At 56.7% G+C, this 26,203-nt stretch overlaps 1 protein-coding gene across 3 annotated transcripts, besides 7 other annotated features; it reads left to right on the top strand.

Annotated features, from left to right (window-relative positions):
- Positions 326 to 945: an enhancer, noted in NCBI's record as "H3K4me1 hESC enhancer chr17:4486943-4487562 (GRCh37/hg19 assembly coordinates)". NCBI's record gives its function as "activates a minimal SCP1, AML or CMV promoter by ChIP-STARR-seq in naive H9 embryonic stem cells {active_cell/tissue: H9 hESC(naive)}" and the evidence as "EXISTENCE:reporter gene assay evidence [ECO:0000049][PMID:30033119]".
- On the top strand, positions 685 to 24,997 carry SMTNL2 (smoothelin like 2). 3 transcript variants are annotated; one of them, NM_198501.3, is made up of 8 exons: positions 685 to 776; positions 9,039 to 9,126; positions 9,607 to 9,849; positions 10,500 to 10,575; positions 11,823 to 12,005; positions 13,538 to 13,655; positions 13,850 to 14,001; positions 24,039 to 24,997. In NM_198501.3, exons 2-8 carry the CDS (start codon positions 9,072 to 9,074, stop codon positions 24,163 to 24,165), a joined length of 954 nt encoding a protein of 317 aa, NP_940903.2. In that variant the 5' UTR covers positions 685 to 776; positions 9,039 to 9,071; the 3' UTR covers positions 24,166 to 24,997. The 3 variants fall into 3 exon arrangements, with proteins under 3 accessions (NP_940903.2, NP_001108446.1, NP_001362290.1); NM_001114974.2 differs by lacking the exon at positions 685 to 776 and adding an exon at positions 1,207 to 1,682; NM_001375361.1 differs by lacking the exons at positions 685 to 776; positions 9,607 to 9,849 and adding an exon at positions 1,207 to 1,682.
- Positions 946 to 1,565: an enhancer, noted in NCBI's record as "H3K4me1 hESC enhancer chr17:4487563-4488182 (GRCh37/hg19 assembly coordinates)". NCBI's record gives its function as "activates a minimal SCP1, AML or CMV promoter by ChIP-STARR-seq in naive H9 embryonic stem cells {active_cell/tissue: H9 hESC(naive)}" and the evidence as "EXISTENCE:reporter gene assay evidence [ECO:0000049][PMID:30033119]".
- Positions 2,186 to 2,803: an enhancer, noted in NCBI's record as "H3K4me1 hESC enhancer chr17:4488803-4489420 (GRCh37/hg19 assembly coordinates)". NCBI's record gives its function as "activates a minimal SCP1, AML or CMV promoter by ChIP-STARR-seq in primed H9 embryonic stem cells {active_cell/tissue: H9 hESC(primed)}" and the evidence as "EXISTENCE:reporter gene assay evidence [ECO:0000049][PMID:30033119]".
- Positions 9,554 to 10,125: an enhancer, noted in NCBI's record as "H3K4me1 hESC enhancer chr17:4496171-4496742 (GRCh37/hg19 assembly coordinates)". NCBI's record gives its function as "activates a minimal SCP1, AML or CMV promoter by ChIP-STARR-seq in naive H9 embryonic stem cells {active_cell/tissue: H9 hESC(naive)}" and the evidence as "EXISTENCE:reporter gene assay evidence [ECO:0000049][PMID:30033119]".
- Positions 15,356 to 16,248: an enhancer, noted in NCBI's record as "H3K4me1 hESC enhancer chr17:4501973-4502865 (GRCh37/hg19 assembly coordinates)". NCBI's record gives its function as "activates a minimal SCP1, AML or CMV promoter by ChIP-STARR-seq in naive and primed H9 embryonic stem cells {active_cell/tissue: H9 hESC(naive and primed)}" and the evidence as "EXISTENCE:reporter gene assay evidence [ECO:0000049][PMID:30033119]".
- Positions 16,249 to 17,141: an enhancer, noted in NCBI's record as "NANOG-H3K4me1 hESC enhancer chr17:4502866-4503758 (GRCh37/hg19 assembly coordinates)". NCBI's record gives its function as "activates a minimal SCP1, AML or CMV promoter by ChIP-STARR-seq in naive and primed H9 embryonic stem cells {active_cell/tissue: H9 hESC(naive and primed)}" and the evidence as "EXISTENCE:reporter gene assay evidence [ECO:0000049][PMID:30033119]".
- Positions 17,142 to 18,034: an enhancer, noted in NCBI's record as "NANOG-H3K4me1 hESC enhancer chr17:4503759-4504651 (GRCh37/hg19 assembly coordinates)". NCBI's record gives its function as "activates a minimal SCP1, AML or CMV promoter by ChIP-STARR-seq in naive and primed H9 embryonic stem cells {active_cell/tissue: H9 hESC(naive and primed)}" and the evidence as "EXISTENCE:reporter gene assay evidence [ECO:0000049][PMID:30033119]".
- Positions 24,998 to 26,203: the final 1,206 nt, after the last annotated feature.

Here is a 26,203-nt window from a genome sequence, read left to right on the forward strand (position 1 = left end):
AGAACCAGCATTTAGCATCTGTCAGGCTGCTCCAGTTCCTTTGGGGCAATGATGGCCAGTCCAGGAGGGTTTGTGGGCTCCAAACAACCTTGGGAGCAGAACATGATATGAACAAGCCTTTCAGACTTCTCCTTCCTGCAGGTCAGCTGGCTATGCATGCCCAGCCTCTGGGCCTCTTTCAGGCAGGCCAGGCTTGGGAAAAAGAAGGCCAATTAGGAAAGGTTTTTTGCACAAAGGAGGATATGTTCTCATTTTTATTTTAAATCAGCTTTATGATATAGCGAAAACTTAGAGTTAGCTTTGCCCATCATCCCATCGTCCTAAAGCAACACCTGTTTCCCTTCTTCCCTTTTCTGGTGATGGTTTGGGGTGTGCATTTGGAAGGGGGAACTATCTGGGTTCAGCCATAAAGAGCATTGAGAAGGAATAGGGGTAAGACCCCTGGCCTACGGGTAGAGGCCAGTGACTGAGACTCTCATTGCGGGAGGGGGCGATTAGTCGCAAAGCCGCCCATTCCAGGATTTGGAGATGCAGCTCCAGCACACCCTTCTTTCTCTGTCTGCCCTTAGCCTCTCCAGGATCTCCTAACGGAGGCCCCTTGGTGGGTCGGGAGCCTCTACCGACCACTAGTGGGAAGGGCACGAAGATCTTGCTATACAGAGTAGGACTGGGAGGGGACAGCGCGTAGTCGCAGAGTCAGGGAGGGGACCTCACCACCTGTCTCCTCCCTGAGGTCTTAGAACAGATACAAGAAATTCCAGGCGAAGGTCCCACAGGTGAGCGTGTGCCTGCGAGAGCCGTGGCCGCTGCATAGGGAGGGCCCCGCGGAGTGGGGCGGCAGCTGTGGGAGCTGTAGGTGTCCCCATTAGCCCGGGAGTCTCCGCCCCCGGAGGAACCTGGGCCTTGCGGGTGAGAGTCCCGAGCGAACGCGTCAGCCCGGGTGTGCTCTCTACGGTCCAGGGGGGCCAGGGCCTTCTTCGGGTGGGCCCGCCGCCCCTCCCGCAGGCCGCACGCCGCTCCTCCGGGGTCGCAGGGCTCAGTTAAGAGCCGGGGAGGGGAGAGGCTGGGCGAGCTCTCCCTCCGCACCGTCCCGCTGGGCTCCAGGGCAGGGGGGTGTCCCGGAGTCGTCCCCGGCTCCGCCCCCGAGGCCCCGCCCCGCGCCCGCCTCCCCGGCAGCCCCTCGAGCGAAGCCAGCCACGGACGGCCAGTCGCGGCCCGGAGCTGCGGAGCTCGGATCTTCTCCCCCGTCTGGCCCGCTCTCGACCCGCGCGCTCTGCTGGGCCATGGAGCCGGCCCCCGACGCCCAGGAGGCGCGCACTGTGCGCGAGGCGCTGGGCCGCTACGAGGCGGCGCTGGAGGGTGCGGTGCGCGCGCTGCACGAGGACATGCGGGGGCTGCAGCGCGGCGTGGAGCGGCGAGTGGCAGAGGCGATGCGCCTGGCCGGCCCCCTGGCGCGCACGGTGGCCGACCTGCAGCGGGACAACCAGCGGCTGCAGGCGCAGCTCGAGCGCCTGACGCGCCAGGTGGAGGCGCTGGGCTTGGCCAGCGGGATGTCCCCGGTGCCCGGCACTCCCGGCACGCCCAGCCCCCCGCCCGCGCCCGGGGTTCCCGACCGCGCGCCCCGCCTGGGCAGCGCACGCTTCGCCAGCCACGCCACCTTCTCGCTGTCCGGCCGCGGCCAGGTGAGCCCGGGGGAGCGCGTGCGCTGGCGCCAGGGAGTGGGGCTCCGAACCGGGTGCCGCCCCTTCGCCCCGACTGCCTGCCTCTGCTCGCGTCTGCGGGGTTGGGGCCTTCACCGGCCGCTCGGACTAGGTGATGGGGGTCCTGCCGCCCCTCCGGAGTTGGAGAGGGCGGGGGGAGGACCGCTGAGCCTGCCAGCTGCACCTGTCTTGGTCCTCCGCCCTGTTTTAGAGCCAGGCTCTGTTTGCTCAGAGTCCTGTCTCCCTCTCTCCTCTGTCCCATGACATCAACGGCTTGGGCGCCGAAGTCCGGCCCCTGACTGTTCAGCACTGCCTGGAGCCACGCGGGGCATGTTGGAATGGTCGACACCCCTGCCTGACCCCCACCCTCCATTCACGCTCCCCTGCGTTGCCGCTTCACTGAGGCCTGACGGCTCTGGTTATTGATTAACTCAGATTGAGAACTCAGGCCCCTGGATGGGTGGGGAGGGGGGTCGAGGGGGACGCGATCAGCAGCGGCTTTTGGGAACTCTCCATCGCAGGGGGTAAATCCCTTACCGTGAAGGGAGAGAGGTGGAAACCCGCCTTGAGCCGTGTCTAGATTCCTCGGGTCAGTGACTAGCCAGAGGCCCACACCACGTGGGGATAGGGCGGAGGCCGACGTGGACCAGTCACTACCTTGCGCATGGGCCACCCAGAGCAGTTAGAATGTGTCCATGGTGTGTGCAGTGGCCCTTGGGTGGGATTTTCCATCCTGATCAGGCATGTGCTCTCGGGTTGGGTTCCCAGGATCTGGGGCTGTGTAGCCTGCACCTGCTCCCTCCTTGGTGCAATCCCTGGGGCTCTCAGATTTCCCGCTGTGGGCTGGGCTGGACCCTAGGGGGCCTGGAGGAGGGTATCAGATTGGGCCTTCCCCCTGGAGGTCCCATCCAGGGTGGGAGATGGCCCCAGACCAAGTTTGGGCAGCCAGAGATGTTTTGCTCCAAACACAGTAGTTAGCCCCTTCTCAGTGGGTATCTCAGCAAGGCTTTGTGCTGGGGGCCTGGGGCTTGCTGCTACTGGTGCAGATGAGGGTGGGGTGGGGGCTGTGCAGGAAGCCTCAGAAAGGCTGAAAGTACTCACTGGTGAGTGCAGCCTCGAGGTATGCGAGTGGAGTGGGCAGTGGCGAATGCCCCTAGTGTGCTGGGCAGAGGAGTTGGGCTTTGCCCGGCCTGTAAGAAGTTCTTAAACATGTCATGGTAGCAGAACCCGGGAGTGTCCCAGTGCTCCGTGTGAAATGTCTGGAAATGTGGATACACTTAAGTCTGTCTTATGAACATGACACTCTACGTGACCATGGTCTAAAATCACCACTGTGAGCTCACACGTGCCTCATCAACTGTGTCATCGGTTGTTTCTGAGGTTTTATTTGAACATGCATTTGCTATTTGTCTGCTCATAGCAGCAGCTGTCCAAATTAAAAAAAAAAATGTCAGGTTCACATATACATGTAGATGTGTGTGTACACACAAAGAGAGAGAGAGAGAGAGAGAGAGAGAGGGAATTCTCTCCAGTCGTGATTTTTGTCAATGGAGATTAGCCATTGTTCACTGGCACCAAGCTAGTCCACTAGGTTAGGAGTTGGTGGATGAAGCTCAGGATGAGGGTCTTCTTTGTGTCTGGCAAGCCCTCTTCGGGGTGGATGGAAGGTGGAGGGTGGCTGGAGGTGGGTAACTTGATTGTGATGGTCCAAGGAGAAAGGAAAGGTCTGAGCTGGGCCGTGGGCCTTGGTGTGTAGAGGGGCTGCCTTGGACAGGGTTTCAGAGGGGGAATGAGCAGATGGGGTAGTCTCAGAGGGGAGCTCTGACTTGGGGGACTGCTGGGTCACAGATCTGGGGTGAGATGCTGGGTTCCACCCGGGTCGTGCTGAACATGAGGGGACTATGGGAACTCCAGGTGAAGCTGTCCCAGAGCAGGTGGATTCATGGATCTGGTGCTCCACACAGTGAGCAAGCCTGGAGATTAGGGAGCTCTCTGGGCAGAAGCAAAGAGTCTGAAGGAATTAAAAACCAGACCGGGGAACTGCCAGGGAGTGAGGAGGACCTGAGTGCACTCTCAGCAAACCAGAGAAGGAGCCCTCCTGGAAGAAGAGGCTGGGGTCAGTGAAGATGCGTCGGCCTGTTGGGGAGTGAAGATGGAGACCCAGGCACCCAGGGGCATGAGCAGCAAGGGTAGCTGAGCACTGTGGGTGGAACATGGCTATGGTCCCCAGTTGGGTTAGAGGCTCTGCACCCCTTGAGCCCTGGCTCCCGGGGCCTGAGGCAGCTGCCGCTGGGCTGACCCCCGAAGCACCAATCCCCATCTCTCTTGCTGTCCTCCGTCTCAGGAGCATTGTCACAGCCTCCAGACCAGTGTCCAGCATTGAGAGGAGGGACTGTGTGGAGCCATCCCCATGTGCTGGCTCGTGTCCTGTGACCAGCACGATGTGATCAAGAGCTTGGTCACACTCAAGGAGCCGGGGCTCAGGGTGAGACTGGAGTGTGGACCATGGACATAGAGTCACAGCCCCACACCAGGCTGCTGGGTGTCTGACCTCTCAGACTTTGTGTCTGTGTAGTGGGGGTCTGGGTGGGACAATCTCATCCCATCCACATGAGCCAGGGATGGCTGTACTACCTGGCATTGTAGAGGTTGGTGTCACACTACCCCTCTGTAACAAGCAATGACATTTAGAGACCCAGTTCCTTTCAAACTGGGGACTGAAGGATTGGAGGTAGATTGTCTCCAATATATAAATGTCCCCTGAACTCAATACAGGAAGGGTTGATCAAGTAATCCTGTCTGGCTGGGAGCAGGGAGCTGAGAGCCAGCTTGGGGCCGGGGGTGGATGGTGGCAGCTTGAGGCCAGGCCCAGGCCCCAGCAGGTTGGGCCAGAGCTGTGGCCTGGAAATGTCATCCTCAGCTGAGCTGGAGCCACTGGGTCCCTATGCCCGAGGCAGCGGAGGCCCCAGGAACAGCTGCCAGGAGCCCCATGTCAGAGGCCCGACCATGAAAGAAGCCAGACTCGCCTTATCTGCCTTCCTTTCCCAGACACACTGTGCGATAAGAGAGTTAAATGCTTTAGGGAGAAGTTTGAATTAAGTCCTTTCAAACGGTGTTGTGAGTGGAGGAGGGCCGGGTCAGCAGTGTGAACTGTCTTAGGATGGGGCTCTGGCCCTGCGTGGGTCTCGTCCCCATGGATGGGCCCGTGCAGATCAGGCAGCACCCAGAAGGCCTGAAATATTCTTCCTTCCCCTACAAAAATGTCTAAAAGCTTTTCCAATAAGAAGGTCCCTGAAATCAGACTTACCTCATCACCCTTCCGCCTTTCCCGTGAGTGCCTCAGGCCTGGGCTCCCTCATGGGGCACCTCCCCTTTCTCAAAACAAAGCCGAGCTGGGGAATCTTGGGGGGTACCAGGCCAGCTCAACAGGACCTGTCCCCAGCCCCAGGGCTCTCCAGCGATTTCTGCCCCGGTCCCAGCATACCGAGGCCCCTCCCTGGTTTCCTTCCGCATGACGGCGACAGGCTGCCCCCATCAAAGGAGAGCAGTAACCCACTGGGGACTCTGCGGGGACAGCTCGTTCCAGCCCAGCCCTTTGGTTGAAGACCTCTGAGTTCTGTGAAGGTCCCACTGGGTGGTGACCCCAGTCCCCCGCCTTTTCCTCACACTCATTGGCTAAGACAGATCCCATGGGGCCGGGGCTCATACTGACCCAGGTCCTGGAAGACAACTTTGCCTTGAGTTGTCCTCTCTGCCCCCTAGAAGGCCAGAGCACTTTGTGGACAGAGCCCTGGTTTGGGGTGGGAGACCCGAGTCCCGTACTTTGGCTCTGCCACTACCTTTAGTCATGGTGTGGGGTTTAGGGGTTCCCCCTGCCCCACCCCACGTCTTGCTTTCCCCATCTGTGTGATGATGGGTTGGAGGATGGTCTCAGAATAGCCCCTTGCGCCTTGACCTAAGGCACGGGCAGACCCCTTTCCCCAGGTGACGAATGCTTCTAGTCGTGGGGCAGGGGAGCTTGGGAGTCTGGGCTCAGCCCTACACCCCAGCCTGCATTAGCCCAGCCCCTTCCCCTCCTCCCTTTGCCGGAGAACCCTTAGCAGTGATCTAACCAGGATAGAACTTACTCCCAGTCTGGTGTAGCGCCTGGTCCCCTGGGGCATCATGGGGGTTGTTGAGGGGCTGCAACGTGCAGGGACAGGCATCTGCGGAGGGCCTCCCACCCACCTATAGAGAAACATATTTCCTGGGAAAATGGTTTCACCCTCAGCCTTTCCCCCCAGAGCCCCGCCTGGACCTGTGGAACCTGTCAGACGAGAGCAGGGTGGGTGAGGGGGCACGGAGACCCCAGAGCCTGGTGACTGTGGGGGCCGGGGTTCCAGCTGGACTGGCTGGTTCTCCTCCCCCTGCCGACATGGTCTACACGGCCGCAGCGTGGCTCTAGGGGCACCCGTTCTGCTCTGCGTGCTGGGAGACGCCCTGTGCTTTTCTTGCGTTTCTGAGAGTGGGCCTGGCCTCTCCTCCTCCCACTCTTGAATCAAGAGCTCAGGGGTCGCCTCCTCTCCAAGGCTGGCTCTTCCCAGGCTCTGGGTCCTGTCTGCTGTGAGCTCCCCAGTGGTCCCGCTCTGCAGATGCTCCCCTCACCTTTCTCACCCTATGAATGTGGTCTTGCCTCTTCCTTCTGGAAAAACCCCTCAGACCCTTTCCCCTGGCTTCGCTCAGGGCTAAAGTTACTGCGCTGTCTTCATTTCTCTGGGACCCCTCTGCTAGGCCATCTCCTGTCCCCCAACCCCCTGTCCCCCGCCCCACGCTTCTGATCACCCATGACCTCTTCTTTTGCTGAACCCAATGGATGCCTGGTTGGATTTCCTCTTCACCTTTTCCTCAACCCCAGGCTGCCTTTGGACGCACCTGGCTTTTTTTTTTTTTTTTTTTTTTTTTTTTTTTTTTTTTTTTTTTTTTGAGACAGAGTCTCGCTCTGTTGCTCAGGCTGGAGTGCAGTGGTGCAATCTTGGCTCACTGCAACCTCCATCTCCTGGGTTTAAGCGATTCTCATGCCTCAGCCTCCTGAGTAGCTGGGATTACAGGCACCCACCACCATGCCTGGCTAATTGTTGTATTTTTAGTAGAGATGGGGTTTCACCACGTTGGCCAGGCTGGTCTTGAACTCGTGACCTCAAGTGATCCACCCGCCTCGGCCTCCCAAAGTGCTAGGATGACAGGCGTGAGCCACCGCGCCTGGCCCCGTGCCTGGCTTCTTGACTCCCTTCCTTCCTGGCCTTGGCTTTCTCACCATTCTTCAGGGGCTCCTCCTACGTCTCTGGCTGCTCCTCATTCTCCGCAGACTGCTCTGTTGCTTCCTGAAATGTGGGGGCCTCATCCCAGGGCCCCTAAGCTGCTCTTCCTCTGCTGGGCTTCCAGGAGCCCAGTGCATGCCCCTGACTCCTGTTTTTCCATGTTCGTCCTTCTTTTCTCTTAAACTCCAGACTCAAAAATCCAGCTACCTCCTCAGCTCCCTGATGCTCCAGGTGCCCCAGGCCCTCAACATGTCCCAACTGAAACCCTCATTTAGCCCCTAAACCTGCCCTGACCCACCAAGTCTGGGCTTGGGAGAGGCTTGGCACCCTTCCTCTTCCATGTCCACCCAGTCTCCCAGCCAGATCCCTTTTCCCCAAAGCTCCGAGTCCTTCTTGCCCGTGGCCCTCCCAGTGCCCCATCTCCCCTCCCCAGGTTCCTGCCCAGGACTAGTGAAGTGTCTTGCCATCTGGTCTCCACTCTCTGGCATCTTCTGAAGGGTGTGCCTGAAACACAGAGCCGAGGACCTTGGGCTCCTTCTTGTCTAAGGCGTCAAGTACCCAGGGCCAGCAGCTTGGGCGGCAGGGCAGGCAGCTTGGGCGGCAGGGCACTTCTCCATCTGCCTGCGTCCTGGACGGGCATGATCAGGATACCTGTGCCTTGATGTCTCTCTGCAAAAGCAGACACTAATCACTCTGCTGGGAGTGCCCTCCCTTGCTCCTCCACCGGGCTCACTCTGGATGTGGCTCAGGCACCCCTGCCTCTGAGAAGCCCTCCTTGCCCCACTGGGTCAGATGAAGCCTGTGTGAGGCATCCTTATCCTGACACGGCCCCCTCTGTTCACCAGCCTGGCTCCCCTCCCAGACTGATTCCCCAATGGCAGGGTGGCACCTCCCGCACTGGTTGCAAGAGGAGCTGAGCCATCTGGGGCCAGGGATGCAACATCATTTGCCTGGGAACCTTGTAGACCAGGGGGCATCTGGGAGAGGCACAGCCGACCTCTCAAGCCGCTCGTCCTGGGCTCGTGGTGGAGCCCCCACCAGCCCCACAGACACTCTCAGCCGTTCACACGCCCTGGCTGTGAGGAGGGCAGGACCAAGGTTGAGGACTTCTCCCCTGGCCACACGTGCCAGCTGTTTTTTGCTGTATAACTTTGGGCAGGGCACATGCCCTCTGGGAGTCCTCGGGCCCCATCTCTGAAATGGCTCTGGCAGCACCTACCGGGGAGGACAGTTGCTATAAGTGGTGTTTAGAAGGTGTTGCTATAAGGATAGCACCGGAAAAAGGGCTGGATGTTTGGTAGATGCCGAGTGGCACTTGCCTAGCCTGCTCCCGTTTCTCAAACAGGGAAACAGACCCAGAGGGGAACTGATGTGGCCCAGGTCACATGGGTGGGTGGCAGCACAGCCTGGATCCCAGGCTCCCCACTGGCTCTTGGCCTTGGCTGTCTTGTCTGCCCCCACCTGCCCCACCCACTACTACTGCCCAGCTGGGATGGATGAGTCGCACGGAGCTGATCAGGCGCTTGCACTCTGCATAGCCGGGTAAATCTTGTGTCCCCGCCTCCCATGCAAAGATCTCATCGTGATCAGGGCTCCGTAGCTCATCGTTGGCCCAGAAGGACCTGGTGCCACTGGTTCCTGCTGCCCCTGCACGGGTAGCCATGCCGACCTGGCCCAGCTGAGAGGGGCAGGGGGCGAGGCACTCCTGACCCCATCATCTGGTCCAGCCTGGGGGAAAAGGTGAGGGGGCCTAATGTCATTGGAACCCTCCATCTTGACTTCTGTCCTCAGCTTTTTGGGACTCTGGGAGGAGCCCAGTGGAGGTGTTTGCCTCCCAGGATCGCAGGGGCTCAGCAGTTGGAGTGGGGCCATCCCAGCTTTTGCTGTGTGACTTGGCCCGTCACTTTCTTCCTGGGGGCTGTTTTCTCTCAACATGATTGGTGTTTTGCCAGAACGGGAGGGGATTTGGGGGTGGGCAGCTTTTGGGGGTGGGCAGCTGGCCCTAGCTGATGGGGTCTCGGTGACATTTGTGTCTCTGTAGAGTTTGGATCACGATGAGGCCAGTGAGTCGGAGATGAGAAAGACCTCAAACTCCTGCATCATGGAAAATGGGCACCAGCCGGGGGCAGGTAGGGCTGACGGCAGAGGAGGGGTGGCTGGGTAGGTTTGGGGGTTAAGTAAGGCCTTGGTCAGGTATCTGTGCCAGGCTGGCCCTTGGCCTGGCATCGGGGGGACTCTATCCTGAACCCCAGCAGGGAGAGAGGCTGCCAGGAGAGCAGCGTCATTCAGTAGAACTTGTGAAACACAGAGGGAAGTTGGGAGATCTCAGGAGGTAGTGAGCTCTCCTGTTTCTAGAGGAAAGCAAATAGAGGCTGAGGAGCCGACTAGTATTTATTAAGCTGGCCATGAGGGGAAGTTGGGAAAAATCAATTCTGGTTGGAGCAGTAAGATATCCCTGGTAGGGGAGGTCAGAGAGGCTGGAGCAGTCAGGGAGGCCTTCCTAGAGGAGGTGGGAGGAGGGCCCAGGGAGGCTAGAGCCCTCCTGGGAGGTCCCAGGCCCCTGTGGCTGCCACAGCTGACCACCCACCCATGCTGGTCACATGTTCCAGGTCCAGGCGATGGACCCCCTGAGATTGCCCAAAACTTCTCAGCACCAGATCCCCCCAGGCCTCGTCCTGTGAGCCTCTCCTTGCGGCTGCCCCACCAGCCAGTCACGGCCATCACCCGAGTCTCTGACAGGTTCTCTGGGGAGACCTCAGCTGCGGCTCTATCACCCATGTCTGCTGCCACCCTGGGGGGCCTCAACCCAAGCCCCAGCGAGGTCATCACGCCCTGGACTCCCAGTCCTAGCGGTATGAGCTGGAGAGCGTGGCCTTGGGGCAGACCTCCCCTTGGGATGGGAGAGGGAAGGCCGGGGCTGGGGAGAGGGAGTCGGTGGGTGACATGGAAAACGAGGGGCTAAGCCCAGCCCTGCCTCTGCCTGCCATGTCAGCCCCTTCCCTTAGCCCATCCTCCCGGGCTACTGCCCAGAGATGCTGTGAAATAGCGTCATCCCCTGGTGGGGGCGACCGTGGCTTTTATTACAGTTGGAAGGTGGCCTCTTGCCCTGCACGTTGGGCACTGTCCCCTCCCTCAAGGCCCCAGGCCTGACTTGGGCCTGTGGCCAGTCCTCCGTGGTATGTCCTGGGGGAAGCCGTGTGGGCCTCTATAGGGAGGGTTTGGGAGCAGTGTTCACTGGATACATGGCACGGGCCCTGGGCTCTGTGCTCTCAAGAGCAGGGCGGGGACAGTTGAAAAGACCTCTTTGATGTTGTTGCTGTGTGTGCCCATCCTCCTTTCTCCTCCACTGTCTGCTGAGGCAGGGCCAGCTTAGCCCAGAAGGTTAGCTCATCCATGCAGCGATGCCGGGTAAATGAGGCAGGGCTGGGTCAGAGGAAGGGAGGCTATGGCGGGCCCTCCCTGGGGCCAGGGTTTGTTACTTCTCTCCCTCTCTCTTCCACAGAGAAGAATTCCTCTTTCACGTGGTCTGTGCCAAGCTCTGGCTATGGGGCAGTGACAGCAAGCAAACACAGCAATAGGTGAGTCAGGGCCTGTGTTCCTGTGGGGTCGCTGCGCCCCAGGTGTCTTCTCTGCTTTGGACGCAGGCCGCCCAGGGTTGGCCCTGGGGTTGGTGCCTCCTGGTAAGGCTCGGGGCTGGATCTCGGGAGCACTGGGCGGCAGGATGGGGGGAAGGTCTGAGCAGGGGGAGTGAGGCAGTGGGCCTCGGTGGAGAGTTTCATTTGGAGAAATATGGTCACAGCCTGGTTTCTTTGTGGGACCTTCAAGTCAGTCAAAAGATTGGAGGAGTGGCCGGGCGCGGTGGCTCACACCTGTAATCCCAGCACTTTGGGAGGTTGAGGTGGGTGGATCACCTGAGGTCAAGAGTTCGAGACCAGACTGGCCAACATGGCAAAACGCTGTCTCCACTAAAAATACAAAAATTAGCTGGGCATGGTGGTGGGTGCCTGTAATCCCAGCTACTTGGGACGCTGAGGCAGGAGAATCGCTTGAACTCGGGAAGCGGAGTTTGCAGTGAGCCAAGATGGTGCCACTGCTCTCCAGCCTAGGTAACAGAGTGAGACTCTATCTACAAAAAATAAATAAATAAATAAATAAATAAATGAATAAAAAACAAAAAAATATTGGAGGAGGCCTCTCAGCCGGCAGGAGGGAGAGGACAGGAGCTTTGTCTTCTTCCATCCCAGCCAGCTGGGGTCCCTCAGAGCCCGGAACTTCCTGCCCACGGGCTGCGAGCAGGGGCAGGTGAGCAGGTCCTTCCCTGTGGCACAGGCCTCCCCCCAGCCAGCCAGCGGGACTGTGATTGGGGATGGGGGTAGGGTAGCAGGCTTGGCTTTTTTTTTTTTCTTTAATAATAAAAGGAGAATTGTGACTTTCTGGCAAACCGTTCTGGGGAAAACAAAGGGGGTCTTATCGCATGGTGGTGGAGGCAGGAGGCCTGGTCCCTCCGGGGCTGGTTCTGAGCACACCTCCTGCCTGAGGAGGGGGTCCCTCTGTCCTCCCCAGGCATTGACACCTGCAAAGGGGTGGTTATGTCCAGATCGGGCCCAGCGTCTCCTGAGTTGAGCCTATTGGCCAGTCCCTCCAGCCAGCACAATTCAGAAAACCTGTCAAACCAGCTAGGGACCGGAGCAAGGGGGCCTCTTCTCTGAGCGCCCATCACGGTGCAGGCTGCCTTGTCCACACTCAGTGCAATGGAGACCTTGGGGCCTGGTGAGCTAGTGATGGCTGCTGGGCCCAGGTCCCAACTCGGCGATTCTTTCCTCAGCCCACCGCTGGTGACACCACCCCAGTCGCCCGTGTCCCCGCAGCCGCCAGCCATAACTCAGGTCCATCGGCAGGGGGAGCGTCGCAGGGAGCTGGTGAGGTCGCAGACGCTGCCCCGCACCTCGGAGGCGCAGGCCCGGAAAGCATTGTTTGAGAAGTGGGAGCAGGAAACGGCGGCCGGCAAGTACGGATGCCCACTCACAGACAGGCCCGGCCCCACGGTGTGCCCAGACCCAGACGGGGCTTGGGTGGGTGCAGCAGGGCAAGGTTCAGCCCTGTCCTGTTCCCCAGGGCGCTGTTGCCCAGGACAAGATCTCTTGGGCAAGGCACAAAGTTAGGGCTGGGCCACAGGGCAGCTTGGGGGGACAGAGGACCCCAGTTGTTGGGGGAGATGGCTGTGAGGCAGGGAGCCAGGAAGGCTTGGTGAGAGCCCCTCTCTCCTCCTCCATTCCCGAGGCCCCCTGTCCTGTCTCTGGTGCCGCCAGGCTGCCCTCACACCCACATTCCCCAGGGGTTGTGGCTCCTCTGGTTTCTGGGCATGACCGGGGACTGGATGGGGACTGGGATTCCTGGCCAGAGCTGGGAGCCCCAGCATGGGGTTGGTCTTGCCCAAGGACCGAAGGTGATGCCACGGGGCCGAGTGGCCTCCAGCCTGCTACTAGGTCTCGAGCGACGGCTCCTCAGGCTCCAGCCCACCTTTGCATATTCAGCCAGTCCTCGTGTCAGTGCATGGTATTGATGCCTGCTGTGTGCAGAGTGTGGCCCAAGCGTGGTATTGATGTCTGCTGTGTGCAGGGTGTGGCCCAAGCGTGGTATTGATGTCTGCTGTGTGCAGGGTGTGGCCCACGCGTGGTATTGATGCCTGCTGTGTGCAGGGTGTGGCCCAAGCGTGGTATTGATGTCTGCTGTGTGCAGGGTGTGGCCCACGCGTGGTATTGATGCCTGCTGTGTGCAGGGTGTGGCCCAAGCGTGGTATTGATGTCTGCTGTGTGCAGGGTGTGGCCCAAGCGTGGTATTGATGCCTGCTGTGTGCAGGGTGTGGCCCAAGCGTGGTATTGATGCCTGCTGTGTGCAGAGTGTGGCCCAAGCGTGGTATTGATGCCTGCTGTGTGCAGGGTGTGGCCCAGGCCTTGTGGGATAATGAAGACGACAGCCAGTCCCTGCTCGACTCTAGTGAGGGGGACCGACCCCGGACATCTCCCCACTGGCCCCAAACAACCTGGCCTAGGCCATTAGGGACTGTCCTTGGGGCCCAGAAGAGGAACTCATCCCTCCTGGCTAGGAAAGAGCCATCAGGGAAGGAGGCACCCCATTAAGAGGGGAGCTCAGAAGGAGGAGTGGGAGGAAGGAGCTGGGAAAGGTGTTCCAAAGCAGAAGGCAGGGGCCCAGGGCCATGTGAGCCAAGGTCTTCTGTCTCAGGATTCCCAGGTGACCCCTGCTTCCTGGATGGGGAATAAACAGGGGACCTGGAGGGCTGTAGGGGTGTGGACGGTCCTGCCACATACCATCAAAGGAGGCTGTGTCGCTGGTACATGGGCTGTGCCGTGGACGTGGGCACAGCTGAGCCCACGTGTGCCACCAGCATCTCCCCTGGGTGAGCAGAGCAGGTGGGAGCACCCTCCTTGGTGGTGCCAGGACAGCCTCCCCTGCCCCAGACCCGCACTGGGAGATGGCAGCTGGAGGGGCCCCCGCAGCAGGCCTGCCGTCTCTCCGCAGGGGGAAAGGCGAGGCCCGGGCCAGGCTGAAGCGGTCGCAGAGCTTCGGCGTGGCCAGCGCCAGCAGCATCAAGCAGATCCTGCTCGAGTGGTGCCGCAGCAAGACGCTGGGCTACCAGGTGAGCCCCGGCTCCCCTCCGGCTGCTGGGACGCCCCAGCTAAAAGCTTGACCAAGCGTCGCCCCTGTCCTTGTTCTCCCGCCTGGGCAGGAGCCCGCTGAGGCTGGGGTTAAGGGGTAGGAACCACGGTAATTATGCCTTCCGAGTGGGTGCCCAGCTGCCCTCCCGCACTGACCCCACTCACCCTGTTGCAGCACGTGGACCTGCAGAACTTCTCCTCCAGCTGGAGCGACGGCATGGCCTTCTGCGCCCTGGTACACTCCTTCTTCCCCGATGCCTTTGACTACAACTCCCTGAGCCCCACGCAGAGGCAGAAGAACTTCGAGCTGGCTTTCACCATGGCCGAGTGAGTATGGTGGCTCCTGCTGGCTACCAGCCCCAGCCCAGTCCCTGAGCCCAACTTCTTCCCCAGGTGGGGCATGGGGGCGAGTGGGATGTCGGGCCGCTGTCTGCAAAGCTGAAGGACCCTGGGGCCATGTGGTCTGTGTACCTCTTGTGCAGATGGGAAGACTGAGGCCTGGAGAGGGATTTTCCCAGAGTCACACAGCACTCAGTGGTGGAGGGGGACTCCGTTCCTGGGGACCTGCCCTTTTTGCTAGGTGCCCAGCTTCTGAGGTGCACTCTGGGAGACCAGCCACAGACCAGGCATGAAGGGCAGCAGGACAGGGTCCCCCAAAGCTCTGAATCTGTCCTCTCTGGACTGATGGAGAGATGCCGTTGCTTGCATGAGCCACAGCTGCCAGTTAGCAAGGAACTGGATATGACCTGGGCCACTTAAAAGGAGATTTTTGCTTCCAATAAGATTTTCCTTCCCGAAATGGTGTTCTGGCATTTATTGTGAAATTGCCTAGCTTCTTAGGTCCCACCTCTAGGGTGAAGATTTGGGGGTGGCTCTGGGGTCAGGAGGCACCTGGAAAGCCAGTTCGGGATTTGGTTTTTGGCCGAGGGCCTCAGGAGAGTTGGCAAAGTCAGGTCTGTCTGCCAGGGCTCCAGCGGCGGACGGGGGCACAGTCAAGAACTGGGCGAGGAGAGTTTAATAAAGGGACCCTTTACAAAGGCGTGGGCAGGAATGAGGTCGTGGGTCAGGCCTCATGCAGCAGCCTCGGGATAACAGCAGTGTGGCGGATCTCAGCCCGTGGCCTGGGTGCGGAGGACTGTCTGATAAGAGCTGCGCTTTGGGCAAATGGTTGCAGTCAGCTCGCTGCGACCTGGCAGGGAGGGAGCTGTGGATAAGTGTCCCAACCTCATTCCCCTCCTGCCTCACGCCAGGGCCTCATGGTGACTGAACCCAATCTGAAGACAGAGGGCCAGGGCTGTGGTTCATCCTGGCCCCCAGGGCAGGGAGCAGGGCACAGATGAGTGGTGTTCGGGGCTGCCCAATGCTAAGCTCTCTGAAGCTCAGAGAGAAGTAAGGCCGTCCCCAAAGCCGAGTCTTCTGGAGGGCGCGTTTGTTATTCTCTCCCTGCCTTTGTGCCTTGTGTTGTCAGCCTCTGACGTCGGTCTACAACCGACCTTGTTTGTTTCTGGTCTGAGTCCTCAGTGCCCACATTTAAGAGTGGTCCTTGGCCGGGCACGGTGGCTCCCACCTGTAATCCTAGCACTTTGGGAGGCCAAGGCGGGTGGATTGCCTGAGCTCAGGAGTTCGAGACCAGCTTGGGCAACACGGCGAAACCCTGTCTCTACTAAAATACAAAAAATTAGCCAGGCATGGTGGCAGGCGCCTGGAGTCCCAGCTACTCAGGAGGCTGAGGCAGGAGAATTGTTAGAACCCAAGAGAAAGAGGTTGCAGTGAGCTGAGATCGCACCACTGTACTCCAGCCTGGGTGGCAGAGTGAGACGCCATCTCTAAAAAAAAAAAAAAAGTGGTCCTCATGGGCTTGTTGGGTTAAAGGAGCCTCACCCCAGGCCTCACCTGCCTTCCTCATTCCTTTCCCAGCCCAACCACCAACCACCTGGCCCCGGCCCCAGCCCCGGCCCTGGCCCACCACCCCGGCCCCTGAGCCTGGCCAGGGAAAGAATCAGAGCCAGAGGGTCTTGTAACCTGCACTTGGTATTGTAAGTCTCGCTTTGACCTGAGATAGCTGCCCCTCTCTGGGGCAGCAACTCTCTCTCCGAGGGCAGAATCGAGACTGGCTCTGAGCTCCTTAGCCTGAGTTTTTGGAATATCGGTATCAGCCCTGTTATGTTGCCTTGGATGACGCGCTTGGACTCAGCCCCCTGGGGTCACAAGAACTCCTTGTATACTTTAAAAGCCTTTCTGTCTTGGCTGCTTGGGGTTAGCTGTCATCCTAATTGCAGAAACAGCTCTGGACGAGCGTGTTGTGCAACTGGATCCAGACGATGGTGTGGTGGAGCCAAGGGGAATGGGTGGTGCAGGGAGCGGGCAGCTCATGAGGATGGGGCCCAGCTGCCGAAGCCCAGACGTGGCAACCGTCAATCAGACTGTCAGAGGACACAGGGTCAGGGTATCGGGGTGGATACCCCAGCACCCACCCCAGCGGCAAGGTCACTCCAGCACCCACTCCAGCGGCGAGGTCACCCCCACACCCACCCCAGGGTGAGGCGACACTGTCTTGCAGGATTCTTCCTTGTCTAAGTCCAGTGATGCCCGCTTATGCCCTGGTCACCTTGGTCACCCTCTGCCCTAGACCAGGCTAGGCTGTGGCAGGGAGAGGGATGCCCCGGGCCATGGGGTGGTGGCCCCATGCCCCAGCCTGCAGGGAACACAGCTCCCCTTGGCAGCCAGAACCAGAGCGATTCCGGGCTGTGCTTCCCCAGCACGAGGTTTGAGTTCAGGGAGCTTCTAGACTCCAAACAGATGTTTCTTCTATTCCCAGCTTGGTGGGGTGATGGGGAGGCAGCGGCGGAGGCTGGTCCAGGTTTTGCCTTCTGCCTTCCCGGAGCACACAGCAGGGTAAAAACGTGGGCCCCGCCTCCCGGTGGCCTGGGCCTGCTCCAGCTGTGGAGGGGGCAGGGAGGATGGGTCTGATGAAGCCGCTGAGATGAGTTCTTGCTTTTCTGCTGACTCGAGGGCGTGGGGAGGGGCGTCCACCGCAGGCCTGTGCCGGGGGGTCGGGGGAGTTTGCTCAGAGCCTGGGAAGAGGCCTCCCCTCATGACTCATCCGTAAGATTATCTCCCAGGTACTAGGGGGAGAGGGCTGGGAAGACTGGCTCGCCTGCCTGGGGCCTCTGGGGAGGACGACAGCTTGGATCACCTCATTTGTTGGACAATAGGCTGGTTAGAAGAGCTGGCAGGAAAGCGCAGGGACACCTGCCTGAGGGTACTAGCTGTCAGTGTCCTCACCGATGTTCCTGAGGTTTGCGGCAAAGGCTGAGCAGATCCAGGGTCGTGCAGGCAGCAGGACCACAGAGCTAAGAAAGGCAGCCTGGGGGCAGGCAGGGTGGGATGAGAGGAGCCTGGGGTCTGACAAGACAACTTCTGGAAGGGAAAGGAGGACACAGGTCCCCAAACCACGGGTTCACCTTGCGTGAGGAATGAAGCATTTCCCCGAGCAAGTGCCTTAAAGGCACAAGGATCAAGGATGCACCAGGGACCTTTGGAGTAAAAGTGGTGTGTGCTGCCCTTCCCCAACCCCCACCTGATAATTTATGGTCCCAGAGATTCCCGGTGGCCTAATCTGTGTGAATGATGCAGTGTTGACAGCACAGCGAGCTTCCCTTGCCTGACAGGTGTTCAGGGTCTGGAACGAGGGAGGACCGGCCCCTTTTATGGAAGGGGCTGAGTCGGGCGGGCGCCTGACCCTTCTGCACCCGTCCTTTCCACCTCTGCAGAGGCCCAGTGCAGGACGTGCAGCCCCAGGCTTCCCGCTTGCCCTGCGGGGAATGTGTCCTGCTCTCGGGTTACGCTGGAGCAGAAGGGCCTTCCAGGCTATTTGTAGTGCCCATGTGTCTCTGTCTAAAACCAGATAGGAGGCAGTAGTCCCAGTCCTGGCATCCTGGTCTGCATTTAGAGCAGGCTTAAAAAAATAAAAATAACCCCCAAGCCCATCCTCCAGCTCCCTTACAGGACAGCCCTGTGGTAGCTGAAGCTCACAATAGACAGGAGTAGGAGAAAACCCTTTCAGCCTTTTCCCCACCCCACTGATGCGGGGCGTAAGCAAAGACACTTTAAAAATGGTCGTCGGGATTGGCCGCGCACAGTGGCTCATGCCTGCGATCCAATCCCAGGACTTTGGGAGGCCAAGGCAGGTGGATTGCTTGAGCTTAGGAGTTTGAGACCAGGTTGGGCAACGTGGCAAGACCTCACCTTTACAGAAAATACAAAAAATTATCTTGGTGTGGTGGTGCACACCTGTGGTCCCAGCTACTTGGGAGGCTGAAGTGGGAGGATCGTTTGAGCCCGGATGGCAGAGATTGCAGTGAACCCAGATGGTGCCACTGCACTCCAGCCTGGGCAACAGAGTGAGACCTCATCTCAAAAAAAAAAATGTAGTCAGCCCATGTTAACTCTGGTTCTTGCTATGGAATGGCATTTAAAGTGATTTTTACTTTCTCCTTTGAACTTTCTGTTTGAATGATTGATTGATTGATTGATTGATTGATTGACACAAGATCACACTTTGTCTCCCAGGCTGGAATACAGTGGTGCAATCACAGCTCACTGTAGCCTCAGACTCCCAAGCTCAAGTGATCCTCCTGCCTCGGCCTCCCAAGTAGCTGGGACTACAGGCACACACCCCCACACTTGGCTATTTTTTTTTTTTTAGAGACGGGGTCTAACTATGTTGGCCAGGCTGGTCTCAAACTCCTGGCCTCAAGTGATCCTCCCGTCTCAGCCTCCCAAAGTGCTGGGATTACAGGCATGAACCACCGCACTTGGCCTGTTTGAATCATTAAAACAAACCTGTATCATTTTTACAAAAGCAGTTGTTGTTTTTTTTTTAATTTAAAAGGCAATTGGGACCTCTAATATTTGGAGACTCAAACATTTTTTATAAATGTCAATGCTGATCATCACTTTCTTTTTCTGCTGTCTCCCGAGTTTTGTCCAGCCTATGTCTGCAGCTTCCAGGAATCTTGCCATCATAGGTCAAATATCCCTTATCCAAAATGGCCTGGGACCAGAAGTGTTTTGGATTTTAGATTTTGGAATATTTGCATTATATAATACTTACCGGTTGAGCATCCCAAATTTAAAAAATCCAAAGGCTCAAAAATCTGAAACTTTTTGAGTGCCAGACACAATGCTGAAAGGAAATGCTCATTGGCGCATTTTGGATTCGGTATGATGAACCTGTGCCATTGAAGCTGGCACCATGTCTCTGAGGGAGAGTGCTCCCTTTGCAGGGACAATCTGGGGTGGAAGGCAGGTGCTTTTTTTTTTTTTTTTTTTTTTTTTTTTGAGATGGAGTTTCGTTCTTGTTGCCCAGGCTGGAGTGCAGTGGAATAATCTCAGCTCACTGCAACTTCCACCTCCTGGATTCAAGCGATTCTCCTGCCTCAGCCTCCCGAGTAGCTGGGATTACAGGCATGCGCCACCATGCCCAGCTAATTTTTGTATTTCTAGTAGAGATGGGGTTTCACCATGTTGGCCAGGCTGGTCTTGAACTCCTGACCTCAGGTGATCCTCTCGCCTCAGCCTCCCAAAGTGCTGGGATTACAGGCTTGAGCCACGGCACCTAGCTAATTTTTGTATTTTTAGTAGAGACGGGGTTTTGCCATGTTGCCCAGGCTGGTCACGAACTCCTGACCTCAGGTGATCCGTGGAAGGTGGGTGCCCTTGAAGGTCTGCTGTGAGCTGTGCTTCAAAGACAGAGAATGCTCTCTGCCTGTGGGAGGCGGAATTTGGAGCTCCCCAGGAAAAGAAGTGGGTGAAGAGCAAAGGTGGCAGGTGAAGAAAAGAGGGAGCCAGGAGACGGTGGTTGCGTGTTGCATATTGTGACCCCTCCCTGCTCCCCTAGGAACCCCTACACTCTCATGTACTCAACTTAGAAATAACAACAGTGGGGACCATATGGATCATGGCCCAGTGCCCTGGTTGCCTGCTGGGGAAGCCGGCGATCTGGACAGCGGAGGATGACACAGGGCATGGCATCCACTCCCATCCTGACTGCCACCCTGGACTTGAAGACTTGCCACCAGGGCAGGGGCCCACCAGGGGTCATTATCAGAGGGTAAACGCAGCCTCTAGAATGAGGAGGGGTCAGCTTGCTGTCTTCTGCAGAGGCTGGACAACACCCGGAAAATGCCGGCAATTCTGAGGGCCTCCTATGAAGTGGGTTAGGGAGTGGCAAGACCTGGTTCGGAGAGGTGGGTCCTGGGTATCCTTTGTGGGAACAGTTAAGGAACCAGAGCTGTTTAGTTCAGAGAAAGACATGGAAGGAAGGTTTTCTTCTGGCGTGTGAAGGGTTCTGACATGGGGGAAAAATCAGACTGAGAATAAGTAGCCTTATGGGGTCAGCAGGTAGAAAGTACACACAGGCACAAATAGCGTAAGAAATGTTAGAAGAACTTTCTCGTGGTCAGAGCATCTGCAGAGGGTTCTGAGCTGTCCTTGGAGGAAATTGGGTCCCCTTTCCCTGGACCCTGAGATGAACAAGCTGAGGCAGGGCCTTTATAGAGGTGATTGGTGCTTCTGACGGGGGTGTTTGGATGGTTGGAGGTCCTAGAGTCCTCATGCTGTCCCTACTTAACATGTGGCACCACTGAGGCCACCGCCGTCAGTGCTGATAACCAGAGCATGTGTGGAGCCTGTTTCTACACACCTGGGATCCTCCAAATAGCAGGTGTGGGAGTGGAGGTGCCCCAGCTGTGTGGCAGGTGGAAAGGAGGGCACCAGATATGAAATGATCGCTCAGGAAGGTGAACTCAGGTCCCCAGCCTCTCTGAACTCAGATTTTCTTTTCTTTCCTTTTTTTTCCCCTTGAGATAGAGTCTCACTCTGTCGCCCAGGCTGGAGTGCAGTGGCATGATCTTGGCTCACTGCAACCTCCGCCTCCCGAGTTCAAGTGATTCTCCTGCCTCAGCCTCCCGAGTAGCTGGGACTGCAGGCATACGCCACCACACCCAGCTAATTTTTGTATTTTTAGTAGAGACGGGGTTTCACCATGTTAGCCAGGATGGTCTCCAACTCCTGACCTCAAATGATCTGCCCACCTCAGCCTCTTAAAATGTTGGGATGACAGGCATGAGCCACCGCGCCCGGCCTGAACTCAGATTTTTCAATGCTTTATCATCGACAAAGCACCTTTGCACGCCTGCTCGCATCAGAGGGCCAGCTTCCCTGACATCGAGCCCTGCCCTGGCCTGTCCCAGGGAGAAAGGGTGCCCGCTCATTGGGCCAAACCCACTCATCACCCCACAAAGCCTGTTGGATTCACTTACAGGCCACCCGCTACAACTCCAAGCAGGAGGTGGGGAGGGGATCCAGGACAGATGCCTCCATTTCGCCTTGACATTTGGTTTCTGGTAGGAGGCCTGGCGTCCAGCCAGCACAGCAGAGCAGGGCCTGCGGGTAATGTTACAGTCTTGTCTCTGGAGCACACAGCCGCGTGAGTCCTGGTAGAAAGTGCTGAGTGCGTCGTGCCAAACTGGGATGGGTCAGAGGAGTCTTGCTCGCTCGCTGGGGTCTCCCCTCTGGCTGGGCTCTCTGGGGAACAAGATGCATAAAGACACATTGTGGAATCACAGCCTCACAACAGGCCCACTGGGAGGGACAGCAGAGGTGGTATTCTGATTTTTTTCTTTTTTTTTGAGACAGAGTCTCGCTCTGTCAGCAGGCTGGAGTGCAGTAGCACGATCTCGGCTCACTGCAACCTCCACCTCCTGGGTTCAAGCGATTCTCCAGCCTCAGTCTCCCAAGTAGCTGGGATTTCAGGCGTGCACCACCATGCCTGGCTAATTTTGTGTTTTTAGTAGAGACAGGGTTTCACCATGTTGGTCAGGCTGGTTTGGAACTCCTGGCCTCAGGCAATCTGCCCGCCTCGGCTTCCTAAAGTGCCGGGATTACAGGTGTGAGCCACCGTGCCCGGCCAGTATTCCGATTTTGTGCTAAGGAAATGGGCACAGAACAGTGAAGCAATGGGAGGAGTCGGGGTTTGAACTCTACTGTTTTGATCTCACATTCAGGCCTCTTCTCTGTGATCCACCCTGCTTCTTAAAGCAAGGCATGATCGTCAAAATGGCAACAAGAATAATCTCTGACTTTTTTGTTTGGTTTTTTTTTTTTTTTTTTTTTTTTTTGAGGCAGGGTCTGGCTCTGTACCCCAGGCTGGAGTGCAGTGGTGCAATCTGGGCTCACTGGAGCCTCCACCTCCTGGCCTCAAGCGATCCTCTCACCTCAGCCTTGAGTAGCTGCGACTACAGGTGCACACCACCATGCCTGGCTAATTTTTAAAACTTTTTATAGAGACGGGGTTTTGCTGTGTTGTCCAGGCTGGTCTCAAACTCCCAGGCTCAAGTGATCCTCCTGCCTCGGCCTTCCAAAGTGCTGGGATGACAGGCATGAGCCACTGTGCCCGGCCTCATCTTTAACATTTATTAGCTCTTTCAATGTGCCCTTTGCTGTTCCACCTGATTTGCATGGGTTTATAATTTTCATACCACTCTTTCGAGGTGGATATAATTCACAGATGGAGAAACTGAAGCCCGGAGAAATGAAGTGTGTTGCCCACAGATATATAGCTCGGAAGAGATGGAGCTGGGATTTCAACCCTGACAGCCATGCGCTTATTGATGGGAAAAAAAATAGACTGGAGACCCCTGGAACTACAAAAGTACACACAGCTGCTGAAGGAAGGGCACTGACAATCGGGCCAAGTGCGATCGTTTTTGCCTTTTTGGTTCTGCCTGATAATGTCAGGCCGGCTCCATCTGGTGCCCAGGGGACCCAGGCATACTGTAAGCAGAGTCAGAGGAGGCAGGGGGCGCAGGGCTGGGCATTCCAGAGGCTGTCTGTTGTTATTTCAGGACTCGCTGCTGAGATGAGCAGGGCGATGCGTCTTGACTGTTGACGTTCCTCCTCCCACGTCCACGAGGCCTTCAGCCTCCCTCTGAGCCCCAGTGAAAGGCCACAGTGTACACACGAGTCTAAACCAGTGAGCCAAAAGTGAAACCAGTATTTCCCAGGGCAGGAGGCAGAGGGCCCTGGGGGGCTGGGGGTGGGGCAGCAATGAGTTTAAGCAATCTCTTTTTTTTTTTGAGACGGAGTCTTTCTTGCTCTGCCCCCAGGCTGGAGTGCAATCGCACGATCTCGGCTCACTGCAACCTCTGCCTCCTGGGTTCAAGCAATTCTCCTGCCTCAGCCTCCCGAGTAGCTGGGACTACAGGCACACGCCACCACGCCCGGCTAATTTTTGTATTTTTAGTAGAGACAAGGTTTCACCATATTGGTCAGGCTGGTCTCGAACTCCTGACCTCAGGTGACCCGCCTGCCTCGGCCTCCCAAAGTGCTGGGATTACAGGTGTGAGCCACCACATCCAGCCTACTTTTTTTTTTTTTAACTTAAATATAGTTTCACTTCAAATTTAAATACAATATGCCAGGTACTGTGGGTCGCCTGTGCCTGTAATCACAGCTACTCAGGAGGCTGAGGTGGGAAGATCGCTTGAGGCAGGCGTTCAAGACCAGTCTGGGTAACATAGTGAGACCCCATCTCTACAAAACTATTTTTAAAAAACTAGCTGGGCCGGGCGTGGTGTCTCACGCCTGTAATCACAGCACTTTGGGAGGCCAAGGCAGGTGGATCACCTGAGGTCAGGAGATCGAGACCAGCCTGGCCAACATGGTGAAACCTTGTCTCTACTAAAAATACAAAAAAAAAATTAGCCAGGCGTGGTGGCAGACACCTGTAATCCCAGCTACTCGGGAGGCTGAGACAGGAGAATCACTCGAACCCGGGAGGCAGAGGTTGCAGTGAGCCAAGATTGTGCCACTGCGCTCCAGCCTGGGCAACAAGAGCAAAACTCTGTCTCAAAAACAAAACAAAAAAACAAACAACTAGCTGGGCATGGTGGTGTGTGCCTGGAATCACAGCTACTTGGGAAGACAAGGCGTGAGGATCACTTGGGCCTAGGAGATCGAGGCTGCAATAAGCTAGGATCGTGCCTCTGTACTCATGCCTGGGCAACAGAGCAAGCCCCTGTCTCTAAAAAAAAAACCCAAATTAAATAAAGTAAGTCTGTTTAAATGAAAACATGAATTGTACAGGTGGCTCATAAATCTGGGAGTTTGGGAAACATTGTATTGGAGTCAGTGACTCCAAGGGTTCTGCCAGGGTTATCTGAATTCCCCGCTGGTGGGTCCTTGGGAACCTCTGGCTGCCGGCTGAGCTCTGTTCCCGGGACCGAGACACCGGCCCTGTCGCGGCTGTGGGGCTGGCTGATGGCTGGGACCACCGTTCTGACGGGGCTTGTGTGTTTCAGGAATCTGGCCAACTGTGAGCGCCTCATCGAAGTGGAGGACATGATGGTGATGGGCCGCAAGCCGGACCCCATGTGTGTCTTCACCTACGTCCAGTCGCTGTACAACCACCTGCGTCGCTTCGAGTAAAGCCCCTGAGCCTGGATTGCCAAAGAGCAGCCCCAGGAAGAGGCCGGGGGTCCGCTTGCGATTCCCCAGCCAGGATGCCCCCAGGAGCCTTGCCGTTTGGTGTGAGCGCGCTGTTTGTTCTGTGGCATGTGACGGCACTCCCCTTCGAGCCCAGCTGTGTTACTGATTAAAAGTACTGCTGAGCTGTGGTCCGACAGCACTGATCACAGCCAAGGGCTTGGAGGAAAAGGAAAAATTATGAGAGAGAGAGAGACATTGGTGCTAAGTAATGATCTTCCTAAAGAAATGCTTGTGTTTATAGCTTCCAGAATGCTAATCTACAATTTTCCCTCTGGTGAATTCGATACATCGGCTTTACAGGGTTACAGTGATTACCAAGTGTTTTTTTTTATCAAAATACCCAGAGTTTTTTACTTCCTCACGCGATTGTAGGTTCCTCTCCTCCCTCCCTCTGGGCCACTGCCAGGAAACAGAGAGACCGCTTAATCAGCAGCTTGACAAAGAAGACCTCAAGTCTTGGGAAGAAACAGTTTAATCACTCCCAAGTCCTGGGCAACAGATGACCTTCAAGTCACCTCCGCTCTCCGGGGAGATGGGAAGGCTCTCCTCTCGGTCCCAAAGTCCTCCTGTTCTTCCCAGGAGGCCCCACAAGTGTTTGGCTAAGCACAGGCTCTCGGGAATTTAACACTTTTGGGGAAGGAATAGGCCCTTTGTGCTGAGAGAGAGTTTTTATTCACATCTTTTTTAGGGGATTTGCTGCAGATATTTATAAAAAGTAACTCCCTCTGTACCACTGACCCATTTATACATAAAAAAGATGTGTTGAATTTTGCTTGGGGTTTGTCATTTCTGTTTAGGAGATGGGAGTTCTGTGAATAAGAGACTTTGCACACCTTCCAAGTGAATATCCACTACATTCCACCCCTGTTCCTGCACTTAAATCACTGGCCTGGAAAGCTGAAGATGGCATTTGCTGTCATCTCTGATCATCTCTGAGTGTGCCTGTCTCCCATCTCCATGTTGTGGAAGGAGCGTCAACAGAAAGTTCCCCTTGAGATCCGTCCTCTGGATGTAGACCGCAGTGTTTGTGATAAACAGTGGCCCAAGACAGCAGGGTTTGGGGTGGTCCCGCACTTGGAGGAAGCCCATCAAGGAACGTTGGTTTATTTTCACAGCTGTTTGGTGGTAGGACTTTCATAGAAAAATCTTGAGATTCTATAGAGCTCCAGCCATTAGCTTATTCTCAGCCAAGAATCATTGTATAATTGGGTTGGATTTTAGCCATGCACTTCTAAACCTTCCCTTTAAGGAGCGGATCTGTGTCTTCACCTCATGCAGCCGGCTCTCAACACCAGTGCCTGTGTGCCTTTGTGGGGTCCCACGTGTCCCTTGGGTGGTATATTGGGGGGTGGGCAGGAGATCCCTGGGGGTGTCAGGAGGAACATGGCAGAGCCTGCAGGTGGGTGAGCAGTATTCTCCATGGATTGGTTGGTCCAGGCTGCAGTCTTGCCCTCTCTCTCGGATTCTCCCACTCTGGAAACCATTCCCTTGCTAGCTCTCTCGTCTCTTGTACGCTTGGGGAGGTGAGACCTATTATTAACAGGACACATAACTGAAGGTTAGGGTTTCAAACCTGAAGCCAATCTGGGAACACAAGGGCTCTGTAAAAAGCATGGCTATATGTTACTGAGTCCTCGCACACGTTAAATGGAGCTCTCCCGAGTTGCAGACATGGCCGTACGCTCTGCGCATGAAACAGAGCAGATCCTGCCAGAATGCAGAACAATTTCTTTTAAACTTTAGGAATGGTGTCCCTCATGTCTCACATTCAGAATGAGACAGACTCGAGTTTTTAAAGTTGGTTCCATGATGTTCTTGTCTGTGGTCTTTGTTGGGGGTGGGGGGTGAGAGATCATAAGACAGTTTGTGAGTTTCAAACATGATTTTACCTCTAAGACAAAGCATGAGAAGAAAATCCAGGAAGGTCTCACAATCCTAAGATATTTGGAAACCACCGTTTTAGGTCGGGGTTACGTGA

Source organism: Homo sapiens, chromosome 17 (genome assembly GCF_000001405.40).
Source record: "Homo sapiens chromosome 17, GRCh38.p14 Primary Assembly".
Classification (NCBI taxonomy): Eukaryota; Metazoa; Chordata; class Mammalia; order Primates; family Hominidae; genus Homo; species Homo sapiens.

Coding starts and splice junctions, on each gene's coding strand:
- SMTNL2 (NM_001114974.2), top strand. CDS start 1,284: ATGGAGCCGGCCCCCGACGCCCAGGAGGCGCGCACTGTGCGCGAGGCG. Junction 1,683..9,038: donor CGCTGTCCGGCCGCGGCCAG/GTGAGCCCGGGG, acceptor GTGTCTCTGTAG/AGTTTGGATCACGATGAGGC. Junction 9,127..9,606: donor TGGGCACCAGCCGGGGGCAG/GTAGGGCTGACG, acceptor CACATGTTCCAG/GTCCAGGCGATGGACCCCCT.